Source organism: Homo sapiens, chromosome 8, assembly GCF_000001405.40.
Source record: "Homo sapiens chromosome 8, GRCh38.p14 Primary Assembly".
Taxonomy (NCBI): domain Eukaryota; kingdom Metazoa; phylum Chordata; class Mammalia; order Primates; family Hominidae; genus Homo; species Homo sapiens.
Window position 1 is genome coordinate 93,819,412 of NC_000008.11, and position 17,756 is coordinate 93,837,167.

The window sequence follows — 17,756 nt, forward strand, 5'->3', positions numbered from 1 at the left end:
GAAGAGTGGAGTATTGTCTCTGGGAGGGAGGGTTTTTTTCATTTGCTCATTCATTCCAACAATGTTTCTACCTCTTCCCACTCCCCAGCCCCTCAGAAGGGTCTTATAATTTGTAAGAGAAAGAGGTAAATTAACCAGTAATTACAGCAATATGAAACGTGCTGCAGTACCGGGGTGTGATATAAGGAAAGCTCTTAACTGTACTTCTGGGTCATCAGGGCTTTGACCTCAGAGAAGTGGATTTGATCTAAGATTTTAAGATAAACAAAAAAAAACAAGTGCAACCAAAGCATGGAACAGTATGTGCTCAGAGACAAAGCAGCACATGGCAGTTTGGGGCACTACGGGCAGTTTGAATCAGAGTACATGTACTGTTTATATTTTAAAAGTTGTCTGTATAAGATGTTTTGTCATTTTAAGAAACCTTCCCTTCTGGGGAGTGATTGTCCCTCCTGGGGCTCCCCAGTTCTTTTAGACAGCAAAGAACTCAGGTGGGAGCATACCTTTGATATACAAACTATAGACCTGAGCCACACCTCCTCTGTCTGGCCCTGAAACCCTAGGAGGCAATGTTCCTCTTCCTTAAATCATCCCAGGACCAGGTAACGGGCAACTAGGGATAGTCTCTGTAGTTTAGAGCACACTGAAATTATTCCAACGAGCCGATCCCAAACTGTTGACCCCACCCTGCCTTGCCATTTCCTCAGAAACTCCAGTAAGCACCCAGGCTCTGCCCTGGCTCCTGGTGCTCCTGCCTCCTGACTGGTGCTTTCCCCCATGGCTGTGCATGGTGTGCCGTGCCATCTGTTTCTAGGACCTGTGAGTGTAAGAAACTTTCCTGTCTCCCCTTGTCATTCCTCACTCATCACTACATAAAAGGACACAGAACAGTATGTTTGGGGGCTTTGGAGGGCAATGAGGTTGGAAAGGAAAACAGGAGTCACATCATTAAAGGTTTTTATGTTGGGCCACATCTCCATCACGTGCATGGAGTGTTTAACCAAGTTGGAGATAAGTGTTCCTGCTCTCTGTTCCTTGGCTGCATGTTGTGGTTTGCAAGAAAATACATTGCCCCACTGCCCATAAGAGAGGCACCAAGGGTAGTAGTTGAGAGCACAGACCCTGGAGCCAGATTGGCCTGTGTTCAAGTCCCGGCTGCACCACTTACTGGCTGTGCAATTTGGGCAAGTCATGATTAAATTGTCTCATCTGTAAAAGAGATAAATAGTACCTACCTCAAAGACTTATTGGGAAGATTAAATGAGTTATTGTGTACAGTGCTTAGAAAAGTGCCTGGCACATAGTAAATGCTATGTGAATATAAGCTGTGTAGTAGTAGTAATAGTAGTAGTAGTTCCCATTAATATTTAGTGCAGAAAGAGAGACCCAGATTAGACCCACTAGAGACTACATTAAGACACTGTCTCATTGCTGGGTGTGCTAGAAGTAGCAATAGACAAACTGCCTGCCACACAGTTGTCTATGGGTTTTAAAAAATAACTGCTTCTGTTATTTTTATAATAATCATTGCTTCCATTGTAATTATTATTGTTACAAGGAATACATGGCTGTGGCCCAAGGATAAATAAATAATCACAGATGATCAGTAGAATGAAGTCCAGGGACAAGTCCACGGGTGTGTGGATATGTATATACACACACATGACAAGGGTAGCATGCAGTGCAGTAAGGGAAAGGTGTTTTTTAGATGTGCCATTGAATATCCCAGTGGAAAAAATGCATACCTCTATGTCACACTTACACAAAAATCAATTTCAGGTAGATGCTAAATTTAAATGTGAAAGGGTAAATGGTAAAGTTTCTAGAAGATAAAAGGGGAATATATTCATGACTTTCATGTAGGTCTTTTAGTTTTTTATTTTGTTTTGAGACAGGGTCACTCTCTGTTGCCCAGGTTTGAGTGCAGTGGCACAATCATGGCTCACTGTAGACTCGACCTCCCAGGCTCAAACGATCCTCCCACCTCAGCCTCCAGAGTAGTTGGGATTACAGGCACATGCCTCCATGCTTGGATAATTTTAAATTTTTTTGTAGAGACAGAGTCTCATTATGTTGCCCAGGCTGGACTCAGAGACTCCTAGCCTCAAGCGATCCTCCACCCTCATTCTCCCAAAGCACTAGGATTACACACCTGTGTGTGAGCCACTGCACCTAGCCTGCCAAGATTTCTTAAGACCCCAAAAAGCCTAGGCATGGTGACTCATGCCTGTAATCCCAGCACCTTGGGAGGCCAAGGCGGGTGGATCACTTGATCTCAGGAGTTCAAGACAAGCCTGGGCAACATGGTGAAACCCTGTCTCTACCAAAAATACAAAAAATTAGCCAGGTATGGTGGCATGTGCCTGTAGTCCCAGCTACTCAGGAAGGAGGATCACTTGAGCCCAGGGAGGTGGAAATTGTAGTAAACCAAGATCACACCATTGAACTCCAGCCTGCCTGGGTGACACAGTGAGACCCTGTCTGTCTCAAAATAAGACCCAAAAAAGATGAACCATAAAATAAAAGATTGGTAAATTGGACTTTACAATTTGTGGTAAATTTATACTTTTGTAAATTTATATGTGTAAATTTGGAATTTACATTAAAATCAGGAACACTGTACATCAGAAGACCCCATTATAAGAATGAAAAGGCAAACCTCAATCTGAGAAAAAAAATTGCAAACAGATTAGACAAAGCACTCCTGTCCTGAATAAAGAACTCATCACATCAATAAGGAAGACAGGCAACACAATAGAAAAATGAGCAAGGCTCAAGTAGCCATCCCTCAAAAGAAGGTTTCCAAATGACCAATAAACACCTGTGAAAAGTGCTCAACCTTGTTAGTCATAAGAATGCAAAATAAAACCGTGTGATACCACTACAAAACCAACAAAATGGCTAAAAGTTAAAAACTTAAAATACCATGTGTGGGCAAGAATGTGTGAAGCAAAAGAACTTTCATACTGTTTACTATGTAAAGTGAGGGGATTCGCGTTAATCTGTAACTTTTGGTTGGACTATCCTGAATCTTAAAGACAGGAAGACTCAAGTTTGTATTTGACCAAACCCATGGCTGACAGCAGATGGCAGTGGAGTGCACAGTAACCTTTTCAGGACCAGGCTGGGGCCCTTCTGACTGTAGCTCAAAGGTAGGTGTGCTCACAGGACGGCGGAGGCAAGAGGAACGCCATTCTCCCCATCTTCCACTTCACTCTTTGTCCCCCTCCTAACTTCTGTCGTCTCTCCCTTTACTGCATCAGAGTGCTGGGCAGCTCAGATGACTACAGTGCATTCTAAATCTAGTGCTGAGTTTTTAAAACCCAGGTTAGGGAATTGAATGCTAAAATAAAGATGATATACTTTCATCCATCTCCTAGGGAATGGGATCACAAAACAGGTCATGCTTCAGAAAAAATTTAAGAACGAATTATCTAATGATTCAGGAATCTTCCTTCATTTTAATGAAATACATATTACATTAAAATCTCTTTAAAAATCAAACTCTTATCTAAAGTATATAATGCCCTTTATCTATATACAATTTCCCCAAATGGGACACTAGGTGCTAAGGATATGGAGGTAGATAAGACATTGCCTCTACTTTTACAGAGCTTATAGTTAAAAGACAGAACAACAAATCAATAAAAGCATAGTAAGTACTGTGTTCTTATCCTATTGCTTCTGTAACAAATTACCAAAATTGAGTGGCTTTAAGCAACATAAAAGTATCATCTTACAATTCTGGGTGGCAGAAGTCTGAAATGGGTTTCACTGCACTGAAATCAACTTGTCAGCCTGGCTGGGTTTCTTCTGGAGGCTCTAAGGAAGACCCCCTCTTTGACTTGGAAGGACTTCTGTGATTACATTGGGCCCACTGGATAATTCAGGATAATTTTCCCCATTTCAAGATCCTTAGCTTAATCACATTGGTGAAGTCCCCTTTGCAGTGTAAAGTAACATATTTATAGGCTCTGGGGATTAGGACCTGGATTTTTTTTTTTTGTGTGGGTGGGTAGGGGTGTGTGGGGGCGTTATTTTGCCTAATATAGAACACTATCTATCTGTAGGGTACAAGAACATAAAACTAGCATACTTAACGATAGTTTGGGTAGTCTGCAAAGGCCTGTGAAAGGGATACTTTAACTGAGACAAAGCAAGAGCAGAAGCTGGCCAGGACTATAGGATGGTAATGAGGCTGAAATTTTCCAGATAGAAGGAACAGCATGTGCAAAGGCCCTGATGTGGGGGCATCCTTGTCTACAGTGGGTCTAGATTGACCATTTGACAGAATTGACCAGATTCGAAAAGGGATTTACTTAGAGTCAAGAATATAGTTTCAAAATTAGAAGAAAATTAAGTGCCTTATTCCATTTTATTTGGGTTTTCAGTTTTTCCCATTACAGCAAACAGAACAAGATTTTGTCTTTTTTTTTTTTTTAGCTAGCTGAATGTCTTTCAATCCACTGAACAGTTCTCATTTTTTAGAGCCTCTCTCAAAGCCATCATTACACACAGTTTTCAAAGGATTGTTACCTAGAAGGGTGACAGACCAAGCTCAGAACACAAAGCCAAAGTCAATGATCTAATCCTGTTTGGGAAAGGTCTGCTCCTTGCTGGGGTCAGCTGTTATTCTGATCTTGTTTTCATGTTGGCAGTTTTCTTTTGCAGCTGCTCTCATTGTGAGGAGTTAAGGGACAGCTTGTAGCAGACCAGGACTTTTAAAAAAAGATTTTAAAATGAATAATAGAGCTCTTTTCCTCTTATGTCACTTATTGAGCTTTGAAACTCAAGCCAGCTGATTGGAGATAATCATGGCCAGTGTTTGCATGGTGCTTTGATTTTTGATATTTTAATAAGATCTTAGATGGCTTTCCATATATTCTTTCTAGCTACCTTGTATCACACAAGCACAACAATGCCAGCTGCCAGGGAGACTCATTAAATTGACATTTTAAATATTTCTGTAAATTACTAGAACATTTTAGCTTTAACTCCCGGAGGGTAAAAGGCTAGAAGATTTTGTGCACAAGAGTATCTGTCCTGTTCTCTAAAGAAAATGGAACTCCAAACCCATTCCTCTTATTCTGTCTGCTCTCCTCGGTTATAAAGCTGCAGGAAGAGCCATCATTTAATCACTTTTTTTTTTCTGTATGCTTAGGATAAAGAGGCACAGTAGAATTATAGCTAAGAGCAAAGACTTTGAATTCTGACAGGGCTGGCTTTGAATTCCCAACTTCTCTATTTCCTTTGCATATGATCATAAGCAAACTCTCCCACCTCTATGAGTCTCTTTTTTTGTTGTTTTTGTTTGTTTGTTTTGAGATAGGGTCTCACTCTGTTGCCCAGGCTGGAGTGCAGTGGCACAATCTCGACTCATTGCAACCTCTGCCTGCGGGTTCAAGCAATTCTCCCACCTCAGCCTCTTGAGTAGCTGGGATTACAGGCATGTGCCACCATACGCAGCTAATTTTTTGTATTTTTAGTAGAGACGGGGTTTTACCATGTTGGCCAGGCTGGTCTCGAACTCCTGGACCAAAAATGATCCACCCACTTTGGCCTCCCACACTGCTGGGATCACAGGCATGAGCCACCACACCCAGCCTATGAGCCTCTTCTTTATCTGTCAACCTGGGTAATATCTGCCTCAAGACCGTTGTCATAAGGATTGAAGGAGATAATAGAAGTACAGTTGTTAGCACGGTGCCAGGAATAGGTCAGTGTACAAAGAATACAGTACGTCATTATGACTGAATTATTAATTTGACAGCCACAAAACAAATTCATGTGACACATTTACTTATTTGACTGCTTCTGTGGTATGTCTGAGGTGAGTATAGGTGCGACATTCCAGAGAAGGAGAGCTGGCGCAAGGACAGTGCTCCAGAAAAAACAGTAATAGTTTCAACTGACCACAGGCTCAATATGGAACAACACTGGGATGACATTGTTAATGTAATTTAAGGCCACATTAATTGAGTGTCCAAAATAAAGGAGGAAATGGCCCCATTGGGTGCTATTCACACCTTATTCATGGTATTGTTTCTTTTTCTGAACATGTCTGGGTCTAAGTACTTTGATAATTGGATTTTATTGGGAGGATGGTGATCAGGACGGTGAAGGATGCTGAGATGCCCATGAAGCATAATAGAAGGAACTGGAGAAAAAATTAACCAGAACCATGATGGTGTCCTTCAAACATTGTCCCATGGAAGAAGGAGTTGATATCCATATAGCTCCCAACTGCAGAACTAGGCTCAATGAATGAAAGCGATGAAGTGGTGAATTTCAGGTCAAGAGGGAAGAATTTTCAGATAATTTAGAGCTGCTCAAATATGAGTGGCTTCGTGACATTTAGGTCCTTCTGCATATGCGTTGTAGAAATGAGACAGGGATGCTGAGAGAGGTTATCTCTCTTGGGGGAGGGACAGACCACATGGATTGCACCATCCTTTCCCAATTGACCATTTGGGTGTACACATACAGCCTTCTCATACAAAGTTACAACATCGAAGGAGGCTGCCTACTTGGCCTCCTATGATGGTGAGCTCTGAGAACTGAAATAAGAAACCTTAAAGCTAACTGCCTTACAGGCAGAATAACCGGATCATAATAGACTCATTTCTATAGTTGTGCTATCTTGGGAAGTATAACTTATTCCATAATGATGTGTTCAGTAAGTCCTTAAGTAACAAGCATTGTTAATCATGTCTTTTTTTTTTTTTTTTTTTTTTTTTTTTGAGTCGGAGTCTCTTTCACCCAGGCCGGACTGCAGTGGCGCTATCTCGGCTCATTGCAAGCTCCGCCTCCCAGGTTCACGCCATTCTCCTGCCTCAGCCTCCCAAGTAGCTGGGACTACAGGCGCCCACCACCGCGCGTGGCTAGTTTTTTGTATTTTTAGTAGAGACGGGGTTTCACCGTGTTAGCCAGGATGGTCTTGATCTCCTGACCTCATGATCCGCCCGCCTCGGCTTCCCAAAGTGCTGGGATTAGTTAATCAGGCCTTGAGGGACTCTGTAAATAAGTGGGTTAGGAAAGAATCTGAAATGATGGGGATAAAGTGAAAGCTGTGTGACTCAATTCTTCCTCCTCCCAAAAGAAATGGTCTCCAAGGTTAGATACATGTTTAATTGGGTAGTGGAAAGTACACTGAACTGGAAGTTCAAAAGTTTAGGTTTTAGTCCTATCTCTGTTGATAACTAGACCTTGGCTAAATCAATTACACTTTCTAGGCTTCTGTTTCATTTATAAGCCCAATGATCTCTAAGTCCTCTTCTTTCCCTAATGTCATGATCCACAATTGATAACCTTCTACAAGTAAATGCTGGATGAAGATGATTAATGTTAATTAGAGCCCACTTGTTCTTGGACATGTCATTTATCCTAAAATTTAGTTTTATATATTTTTATGTTTATTTATTTATTATTATTTTTTGAGATAGAGTCTCGCTTTTGTCGCCCAAGCTGGAGTGCAATGGTGCAATCTCGGCTCACCGCAACCTCTGCCTCCCAGGCTCAAGCAATTCTCCTTCGTCAGCCTCCCAAGTAGCTGAGATTACAGGCACGTGCCACCACGCCCAGCTAATTTTTTGTATTTTTAGTAGAGACAAGGTTTCACCATGTTGGCCAGGCTGGTCTCAAACTCCTGACCTCAGGTGATCTGCCCACCTCAGCCTTCCAGAGTGCTGGGATTACAGACGTGAGCCACCCCACCTGGCCAGTTTTATATATTTTTAAATGGCAGATAATCTTGAGAAGGTGAGCATGGCAGAATTTATAAAAAGTACATCAGTTTAAACTGAGACAACATATACGAAAAAATTGTTATGACCTTGCCATTTGAACATGACCCATAGTATGAATTATGCTGCAGCAAAGCTCTGAATTATTACCTCAAAATAAATCAACCTGTAGGAGGATACTGATAGTTGCCTGTGGAATATCCATTCTCCCCTTCTTCATTTTATTTTATTTTATTTTCTAAAAAAGACACAGAGTCTCATTCTGTCATCCAGGCTGGAGTGCAGTGGTGCAATCATAGCTCGCTGCAGCTGCAGCCTACCAGGCTCAGCCTGGGAGGGTGGCAAGCGATCCTCCTGCCTCAGCCTCCTGAATAGCTGGGACTACAGGCATGTGCCACCATGCCTGCCTAATTTTTGTATTTTTTCTTTTTTTTTTTTTTGTATTTTTTGCCTAATTTTTTGGCTGCCTAATTATTGTATTTTTTGTAGAGATGAGGATCCCACTGTGTGGCCCAGGCTGGTCTTGAACCCCTGTGCTCAAGCAATCTTCCTGCCTCAGCTCCCAGAGTGTTGGGATTACAGGCATGAGCCACCGTGCCTGGCTTCCCTTCTTTTTTTTTTTTACTATGGAACACTGGTTTCATTTGGGATGGAATCTGCTAAGTTTCCCTTGTGGCTAAGAAACCCTGTTTCATGGTGGCCAATGAGAGGCAAGCAGAAGTCTGCTGATGGGGCATCTGAGAAGGCTATTGATTTCCTCATAAAAAGGAATAAACATACTGGTACACACTTTTTGCCCTTCTGTCTTCCTGCCTGGAATGTGTTCATGATGCCTGGAGATGCAGGAGCGTGAGGATGCACAGCAGGCAGGTAGAGAAGCTGGGTCTTTGACCACTATCTTGAGCAGCTGTGCCAGCCCCAGGCTGCATCCACTTCTTGTTATTGGGAAGGACAAAGCCCTATTTACAGACAAGTCTCTATTCCATGCAGCTTAATGCAATCCTGACTCATAAAGTACCTCCAAACCACCGCTCCCCAGTTGTTCCATGTCAGGTGCCATAGTATGAACTTATTTCACTTGACACCCTCTGGAAGGTCCTACCTCTTAAAAGAACATGTAGCCATATGCATTCAGTGTTTTCAGAGAAGACACCACCACCATCACCACCATCATCATCATCACCCCCAACAACAACAAGAACAACAAGCAAGTAGTAAGTATTTACAATGTGTCTTAAGGAACTCTTGATTAATTGACTTCAAGCAGCACTACTTAATTCAGGAACACTTACCAAGAGAAAAGAAGCCAGGGGCAGTGGCTCACACCTGTAATCCCAACACTTTGGGAGGCCAAGGTGGGTGGATTGCTTGAGGTCAAAAGTTCAAGACCAGGCTGACCAACATGGCAAAACCCCATCGCTAATAAAAATACAGAAAATAGCTGGGCATGGTGGCACATGCCTGTAATCCCAGCTACTCGGGGGGTGGGGCTGAGGCAGGAGAATCGCTTGAACCTGGGAGGCAGAGGTTGCAGTGAGCTGAGATCACACCACAGCATTCCAGCCTGGGTGACAGAGTAAGACTGTCTCAAAAAAAAAAAAAAAAAAGTATTAACTCACTTTCTTGAATAGCCCTTTTAAGAGTTATACCTATATGTTGTGCCATAAAACTATATTTAACTGCTAAGAAGGCAAACAAGACTATTGTTAGTCAAGTGTTTAGTTCATTTTTATTATAACATATTTCATGTTATATTTATGTTAACACTAGTTGTTTTAATGGCTATTCATTTTATAGCATATTGGAGTTTCTTGTAACATTATGTGTATATTACATTTATGCCTATTTTATAGACATTATGAAATAATTTTACAATTTGAGGTAACTATATAAGTTAATACTTACCTTTGCTTTTATGACATGCGGTTGGTTCTATTTATGGCTTATGTGATGCTGAGTTGTTGGTCAGGATGCCACTCTGTTATCATCATTGCCCTAGGAGGAAAATAGGCTCTTCTTTGCGGTAGTACACCTGTCGGTCGCACTTTCCAGGAATGCCTGCACTCCATTCAAGGGCAGAAATAGGCATAGTTTTCTTCTTCCTGTAAGGATTTGTCACCGTATGTCCCGAATGGACAGAATAAACTACTTTCTTGAACTCTCTCACTCAAGTCTTTCCTCAAAATCAGGAGATTTCCTTTATGAGTGCTCTCTCTCTCTCTCTCTCTCTGTGTGTGTGTGTGTGTGTGTGTGTGTGTATCTTTTCACTAATCAGCCGTGTTCACTTCCCAAGCACTAACACTTGCTACAGCACCTCCACTCCTGCTCACTGGATCTACTCCTCTAACTACCTCTAAGCATGGCCATATCCCTCAAATGCAGCCAGGGGCCTCTTCTCCCTGCGATCACATAGGCTTAGAGCTGGTTGGCTCCTCAGATCCTCTGTGGTTCCCACAAGAAATGCAGTTTCACCAAGCGTTCTGTGACTTTTTTTTAACTTTCTGAGAATTCGGGAGGCCCCATTATGGAACAGCACAACATCTCCTCTTTCCCTTTCTTTCTCTCTCTTTTTCTCTCCCCTTCTCTCCGTGGTATTTTTAATATATGGTGGATGAGCCAGTTCCTGGCTCATAACTCCCACAGCCCTTGTTACAGTCTTTTGTTATAATCCTGGGGGGCATTTTAGGCCTCAGAATCAGGCCTCAGAAAATAGAATCTTTCTCTGACCTTCCCCCACCCTTCTTTCTTTCCCCAAGACAGGAATCTTCCCCTACTTTTCCGTCTTGGAGCTGACCATAAATTCCCTGAGCTACCTTGTCTGATTGTAGGCCATAAGACCCCCATTTCAGAAGGGGTCCTGCCCTATAACCTGGAGGAAGGAAAACTGCACCAAGAAGCCAAGGAGAACCTGGACAGACAAGCCTTGCTGGGTCTCCCCACTCAGTCTATTAGCATTAGATCATATCCCTTTGTCCAAACACATTTCTACATGGTTGTCAATCATGCCTATCCGAGGACATCTCCATAAAAGGCCCAAGAGGACAGCATTTGGGGAGCTTCCAAATGGCTGAGCACATGAGATTCCTGGAGGGTGGAGTGCCTGTGGAAGCCCTGCACCCTTCCCCCCATGCCTCACCCTACACATCTCTCCATCTGTATCCTTTGTAATATCCTTTATAACAAACTGGTCAATGTGTTTCCCTGAGTTCTGTGAGCTACTCTAGCAAATTAACCCAACCCAAAGAGTGGTTGTAGCAACCCCAAATTGAAGCCAGTCTGTCAGAACTTCTGGAGGCCCTGACATGTGACTGGTATCTGGGAGCGGGGGTGATCTTGGGGACTGAGCCCTCAACCCGTGGGATCTGACACTGTCTCCAGATAGATAGTGTCAGAATTGAATTGGGGTACCAGGTTGGTGTCCGCTGCAGAACTGATTGCTTGTTTGGTGGTGGGGAGAAACTCCCACACATTTGATCACAGAAATCTTGTGTGTTGATTGTTGTAAGAGAATAGGAAAAAGCACACTGAGTGTTATTTTATCCACACTTAGACCCTCCCTCTGGGTTCACCCAGGAGCTTCTTGTAATATAACAAGCCAAGCCCAGCTTCTGTAGACTCAGCTTTTACCTCAGACAAGATGGTATTTTCCTAACACAGGCAAAGCTCTCCCTGGTAGGAATTCTTGTTATAATCATCATGCACAAAAGCATTTGCCCACGTATTTCCATGAATAATCAAAGAAAGTTCTGCCTTCGCAGAATCATTTCATGATCTCGTACTTTGATTTTAGAAGTGATAGTACAGTGAGGGTCTGGACCTTCCTCAGCTTGTGATGATCACGGACACTAACAGTAAATCTGGATGAAGCCAGGTCCTTGAGACCCACAGCACATCTGGTATATTCACTCCTGTTACACTCACATGTTCGGTGCTCCCACTTTCACACACGCCACATGGGGAGCATAGAAAGCACCCAGCACTAAAATCATTTCCAGTTTTAAAATCACTATGACAAGTAAGAGGAGACAACCCATGTGAGTGGACCAGGCCTTTCTTTGAGCCCCTTTAAGTGAAAGTTATCTTAGAAAAGGCCCAGGGAAGACAGGGGGCCTGGAGAATGAAAGAATGGCCAGGTTAACAAGCACATGTGAGTACAAGGTTTGCATTTAGCTCAGCTGATGAAGCAAGAGATTAAAACAGACATGGAACTTGTTGAAAATTTTGCCAACAATTGGGCAAAAGATTTCTATTACAATGGACATTTTGACTCTCTTTTAAAGAAAAATAACAGCTGACGATGGTTTAATATTACTAATATAACAGGACTATTTTTTTCTGTCATTTACATTCAAGTGAAAGCCATTCGCCAATCTTCCAACCTTTTGAGAATACCCTGTCATGTAATATCCAAGTGAACTGGTGAGTATCTAGTCCCCAACCCAAATATTATGAAAAGCCCTGCCTCCTTCCAGGTTTCTGAGGATTCCTGGGAAGGTGTGCATGAGTGCATGCATGTGCTTGTGTGTGTGTGCATGTGTGTGTGTGTGTTTGTGCTTGTGTGCCTGTGTGTGTGGTGGACGTCACAGCAGAGGAGCTGAATGTGCAGAAGGCATGGTGGCTTCTGTTCGTCAAGTCACCTCCCCCTCTGAATGGTTCTGCTGAATTCCTGTTTCTCTTGCCCTGCAGCTATTGTTCTTCTACCACTTCACCTTTCCTTCATTTTCCAAAGCACCATTAACATTAGACAACTGCAAGTTTTAACCTTTGCTGAAAGTCGGGAGTAATGGAGAGGGGCACTGCTTGGAAAACAACTTCAAGCTGGACATCAGGTCTTGCCATCCTCCAAGTCCTTCAGCCAACTCTCCAGCACAGGAAATTTACATTACTGTCTTTCCTTTTAGGCCCTGGCCTGCTGCTGTGCTCCTAGGGCCAACTTTCCTCTCTACCCTCATTCCTCTGTATCATCTTCTTGGAGTCCCCAGGGTTCCTGTACCTTTCTCCTTCACCAGCAGTGACTCAAAAACTCTCTATACAGAAGGAGGAGCTCAGTGAGAACAGCCTGATTGGAAACTGGGGCTAGAGGTCTTATCTCAAAGTCTGCTTTGCTTTGAAGCACACTGTTTTTACTTAGATTGTATGCTACTTGGATTGGGTAGGGGTACCCATGGAGGCTACAGGAAAGAGCTTAAGCCACTTCCATTGATACAACCACCCCTTATTTTAGCATTGCAACTCCACCATCTCTCTACTTTACCTACAGAACAATTTCCTTATCTGCCAGAACCTCCTCTTTCCAGAATATGCCTTGGAGAGATCACCTTCTATAATCAAAAGACCCCTCTAGGTATTTTTCAAGCAAAAGAGCAGACTTGTTTCTTCCACCTTCCAGAATGTGAAAGCAACTTCAGACATTTCTTTTTAGAATAGCAATTGGGCCGGGCAGGGTGGCTTACACCTGTAATCCCAGCATTTTGGGAGGCCAAGGCAGGCGGATCACTTGAGGTCGGGAGTTTTCTTTTTATTTTTTTTATTTATTTTTTAATTATTATTATTTTTTTAGCATTTATTGATCATTCTTGGGTGTTTCTCAGAGAGGGGGATGTGGCAGGGTCATAGGATAATAGTGGAGAGAAGGTCAGCAGATAAACACGAGAACAAAGGTCTCTGGTTTTCCTAGGCAGAGGTCCCTGCGGCCTTTGGCCCTGTTTGTGTCCCTGGGTACTTGAGATTAGGGAGTGATGATGACTCTTAACGAGCATGCTGTCTTCAAGCATCTGTTTAACAAAGCACATCTTGCACCGCCCTTAATCCATTTAACCCTGAGTTGACACAGCACATGTTTCAGAGAGCAGGGGGTTGGGGGTAAGGTTATAGATTAACAGCATCCCAAGGCAGAAGAATTTTTCTTAGTACAGAACAAAATGGAGTCTCCTATGTCTACTTCTTTCTACACAGACACAGTAACAATCTGATCTCTCTTTCTTTTCCCCACATTTCCCCCTTTTCTTTTCAACAAAACCGCCATCGTCATCATGGCCCGTTCTCGATGGTCGCTGTCTCTTAGGAGCTGTTGGGTACACTTCCCAGATGGGGCGGCCTGGCAGAGGCGCTCCTCACTTCCCAGACAGGGCAGCCGGGCAGAGGCGCTCCTCACTTCCCAGATGGGGCGGCTGGGCAGAGGCGCTCCTCACTTCCCAGATGGGTTGGCGGCCGGGCAGAGGCGCTCCTCACATCCCAGACGATGGGCAGCCGGGCAGAGGCGCTCCCCACCTCCCAGACGAAGAGCAGCCGGGCAGAGGCGCTCCCCACCTCCCAGACGAAGAGCGGCCAGGCAGAGGTGCCCCCCACTTCCCAGATGGGGCGGCCGGGCAGAGGTGCGCCTCACATCCCACAAGGGGCGGCCGGGCAGAGGTGCTCCCCACATCCCAGACGGGGCAGCCGGGCAGAGGCGCTCCTCACCTCCCAGACGATGGGCGGCCGGGCAGAGGCACTCCCCACCTCCCAGACGGGGCGGCCGGGCAGAGGCGCTCCCCACATCCCAGACGGGGCAGCCAGGCAGAGACACCTCTCACCTCCCAGACGGGGTGGCTGGGCAGAGGCGCCCACTTCCCCAATGGGGCGGCCGGGCAGAGGCACTCCCCACCTCCCAGATGAAGGGCGGCTGGGCAGAGGCGCTCCTCACTTCCCAGGTGGGGTGGCCGGGCAGAGGCGCCCCTCACCTCCCAGACGGGGCGGCCAGGCAGAGACGCCCCTCACCTCCCAGACGGGGCGGCCGGGCAGAGGCGCTCCCCACCTCCCAGATGAAGGGTGGCTGGGCAGAGGCACTCCTCACTTCCCAGGCGGGGCGGCTGGGCAGGGACGCCCCTCACCTCCCAGACGGGGTGGCTGGGCAGAGGCGCCCACTTCCCAGACGGGGCGGCCGGGCAGAGGCACTCCTTACCTCCCAGATGGGGCGGCCGGGCAGAGACGCCCCTCACCTCCCAGACAGGGCGGCCAGGCAGAGGTGCCCACTTCCCAGATGGGGCGGCCAGGCAGAGGTGCTGCCCACCTCCCAGACAAAGGGCAGCTGGGCAGAGGCGCTCCTCACTTCCCAGGCTGGTAGCTGGGCAGAGGCACCCCTCACCTCCCAGACGGGGCAGCCAGGCAGAGACGCCCCTCACCTCCCAGACGGGGCGGCCGGACAGAGGCGCCCACTTCCCAGGCGGGGCGGCTGGGCAGAGACGCCCCTCACCTCCCAGATGGGGTGGCAGCCGGACAGAGGCACTCCTCACTTCCCAGATGGGGTGGCAGCCAGGCAGAGACGCCCCTCACCTCCCAGATGGGGTGGCAGCCGGGCAGAGGCGCTCCTCACCTCCCAGATGGGGTGTCCGGGCAGAGGCACTCCTCACTTCCCAGACTGGGCAGCCGGGCAGAGGCGCTCCTCACTTCCCATTCGGGGCAACTGGGCAGAGGCACTCCTCACTTCCTCCCAGATGGGGCAGCTGGGCAGAGGCGCTCCTCACTTCCCAGAGGGGGTGGCCAGGCAGAGGTGCTCCTCACTTCCCATTCGGGGCAGCCGGGCAGAGGCGCTCCTCACTTCCTCCCAGACGGGGCGGCCGGGCAGAGGCGCTCCTCACATCCCAGAGGATGGGCGGCCAGGCAGAGACGCTGCTCACTTCCTAGACGGGGTGGCGGGCGGGCAGAGGCTGTAATCTTAGCACTTTGGGAGGCCACAGCAGGCGGCTGGGAGGTGGAGGTTGTAGCGAGCCGAGATCACGCCACTGCACTCCAGCCTGGGCAACATTGAGCATTGAGTGAGCGAGACTCCCTCTGCAATCCCAGCACCTCGGGAGGCCGAGGCGGGCAGATCACCCGAGGCCAGGAGCTGGAGACCAGCCCGGTCAACATGGCGAAACACTGTCTCCATCAAAAATACAAAAACCAGTCAGAAGTGGCGGCGCGTGCCTGGAATCCCAGGCACTGGGCAGGCTGAGGCAGGAGAATCGCCCACTGCAGGGAGGTTGCAGCGAGCCAAGATCATGGCGGTACAGTCCAGGCTCCGCAAGAGAGGGAGACCTTAGAAAGAGGGAGACGAGGGAGAGGGAGACCGTAGAAAGAGGGAGACGGGAGAGGTAGAGGTAGGGGGAGAGGGAGAGGGAGAGGGAGGTCGGGAGTTTGAGACCAGCCTGGCAATGTGCTGAAACCTTGTCTCAACTAAAAGTACAAAAATTAAGCTGGGTGTGGTGGCATGCGCCTGTAATCCCAGCTACTTGGGAGGCTGAGGCAGGAGAATTGCTTGAACCTGGGAGGCAGAGGTTGCAGTGAGCCAAGATGGCGCCACTGCACTCCAGCCCGGGCGATAGAGCAAAACTCTGTCTCAAAAAATAAATAAATAAAAAATTAATAAAATTAAATATAATAAAATAGCACTTGATCAATTTCTGTAAAACTTGTAAAATATGTGGGACAAAGTAGCAAACATAAGAAGCCGTATTTCTTCATTTCTTCCTGGCACCACAATTTCAAAAAGTCACTGACTCTGTGGGACAGGCAGCTCTCTGGAAAGATGCTTTGAAGACAAAACAGGAGAGAGCACATAGGCCCCCCACATCTCTTGCCTGAGTCACTATACTGCTTAAAAGATAAATGACCTGGTCCTTGCCTTGTCCTACACATAAGATAATGTCAGATGGGGTTAGTGATTATGCCTCTGTAATTTTTAACCAGATGTACTCTTACACCCAAACCTTGATGTGATTCTGCTTTAATGTAACTTCTGAGGAAGTTTGATGTGATTTTGCATGTACTGAACCCCCATCACCTGTATATAAGCAGTGAGATGAAAAACTGTACCAGAGCCGAGACTGCTCCCAGGCTCTAGACCTTGGTCCATAGTCCTCAGGAAGACTTCTAAATAAAGCTAGCCTTAATTCTTTAAAAGCGTGATGGTTGGCTGAGCACAGTGGCTCATGCCTGTAATCCCGGCACTTTGATAGGCTGAGACGGGCAGATTGCCTGAGCTCAGGAGTTCGAGACCGGCCTGGGCAACACGGTGAAACCCCATCTCCACTAAAAATGTAAAAATTAGCCGGGCGTGGTGGCACGCGCCTGTAGTCCCAGCTACTCAGGAGGCTGAGGCAGAAGAATTGCTTGAACCCTGGAGTTGGAGGTTGCAGTGAGCCGAGATCATGCCACTGCACTCCAGCCTGGCAACGGAGCGAGACTCCATCTAAAAAAAAAAAAAAAAAAATGCCTGATGCTTTTTCTTTAGTCAACAAATGAAATGAAAATTATTAGTATTCAAAGAGGGTTGGGTCTTCACTCTGTTTTTAGGATGTTGTCAAGTTTTACGATGGGAAATAAGTCCCGAAATCATAGAATTTAGGCAACCTTAGCAATCGTAGCTTACCTCGCTCATTTGTGATTCAGAAAATTGGAGCCCAAAGCAGTTTTGTGGTAGGTCCAAGGTCACTGGCAAGCCCCTCAGTGGAGAGCTAGCGCTAAAGTCTCCTCAGGACAGCCATAGCCAGGCTGAGAATAGTTTAATGGAGAAATGATCTAATTTAGGTGGTTCACCTGGCTTGTCAAGTACGACGAATGTGGCACAGAATTCTTAGAAACAGGACTTAAAAGTTTAAAGCATATACAAATGACATGCTTAGGCATGCAAAAATATGTGCATACATATTGATTGTACTGGTGAAACCTATCTGCCAATAGAGAAATTTATGTCATGCTGTCAAAAAATAGCGCTTCCTTTAGTGCAGTTCACACTACAATTCAAACTGTTCCAGAAAAATGTGAGTAAAATCTCATGCAAGTAAAAAATGTTGAGTCCTGGAGTCCCATCCAGACTTCAGTGTTTTTTGTTATTTGTTTTGGTTTGTTTGAAATAGGGTCTCGCTCTGTTGCCCATGCCCAGGATTGAGTGCAGTGGTACAATCACAGCTCACTGCAGCCTTGACCTCCCAGGATCAAGCGATCCTCCCACCTCAGCCTCCAAAGTAGCTGGGACTACGGGCATGTGCTACCATG

The 17,756-nt window shown here is 46.0% G+C and overlaps 1 protein-coding gene across 5 annotated transcripts in view; it reads left to right on the forward strand.

The window, feature by feature from the left end:
• TMEM67 (transmembrane protein 67) overlaps nt 1-13,242 on the forward strand; it is a 77,810-nt gene extending 64,568 nt beyond the window's left edge. The window contains exons 29-31 of one of the 5 annotated variants that reach the window (XR_001745619.3): nt 708-825; nt 3,039-3,152; nt 12,096-13,242. The gene's annotated coding sequence lies outside the window, so the exon portion shown is untranslated. Of the gene's footprint in view, nt 1-707; nt 6,031-12,095 lie in introns of those variants that run through there. The other 4 variants (XR_007060762.1, XR_928360.4, XR_007060761.1 and 1 more) reach the window with 4 other exon arrangements.
• The last annotated feature ends 4,514 nt before the right edge of the window (nt 13,243-17,756 follow it).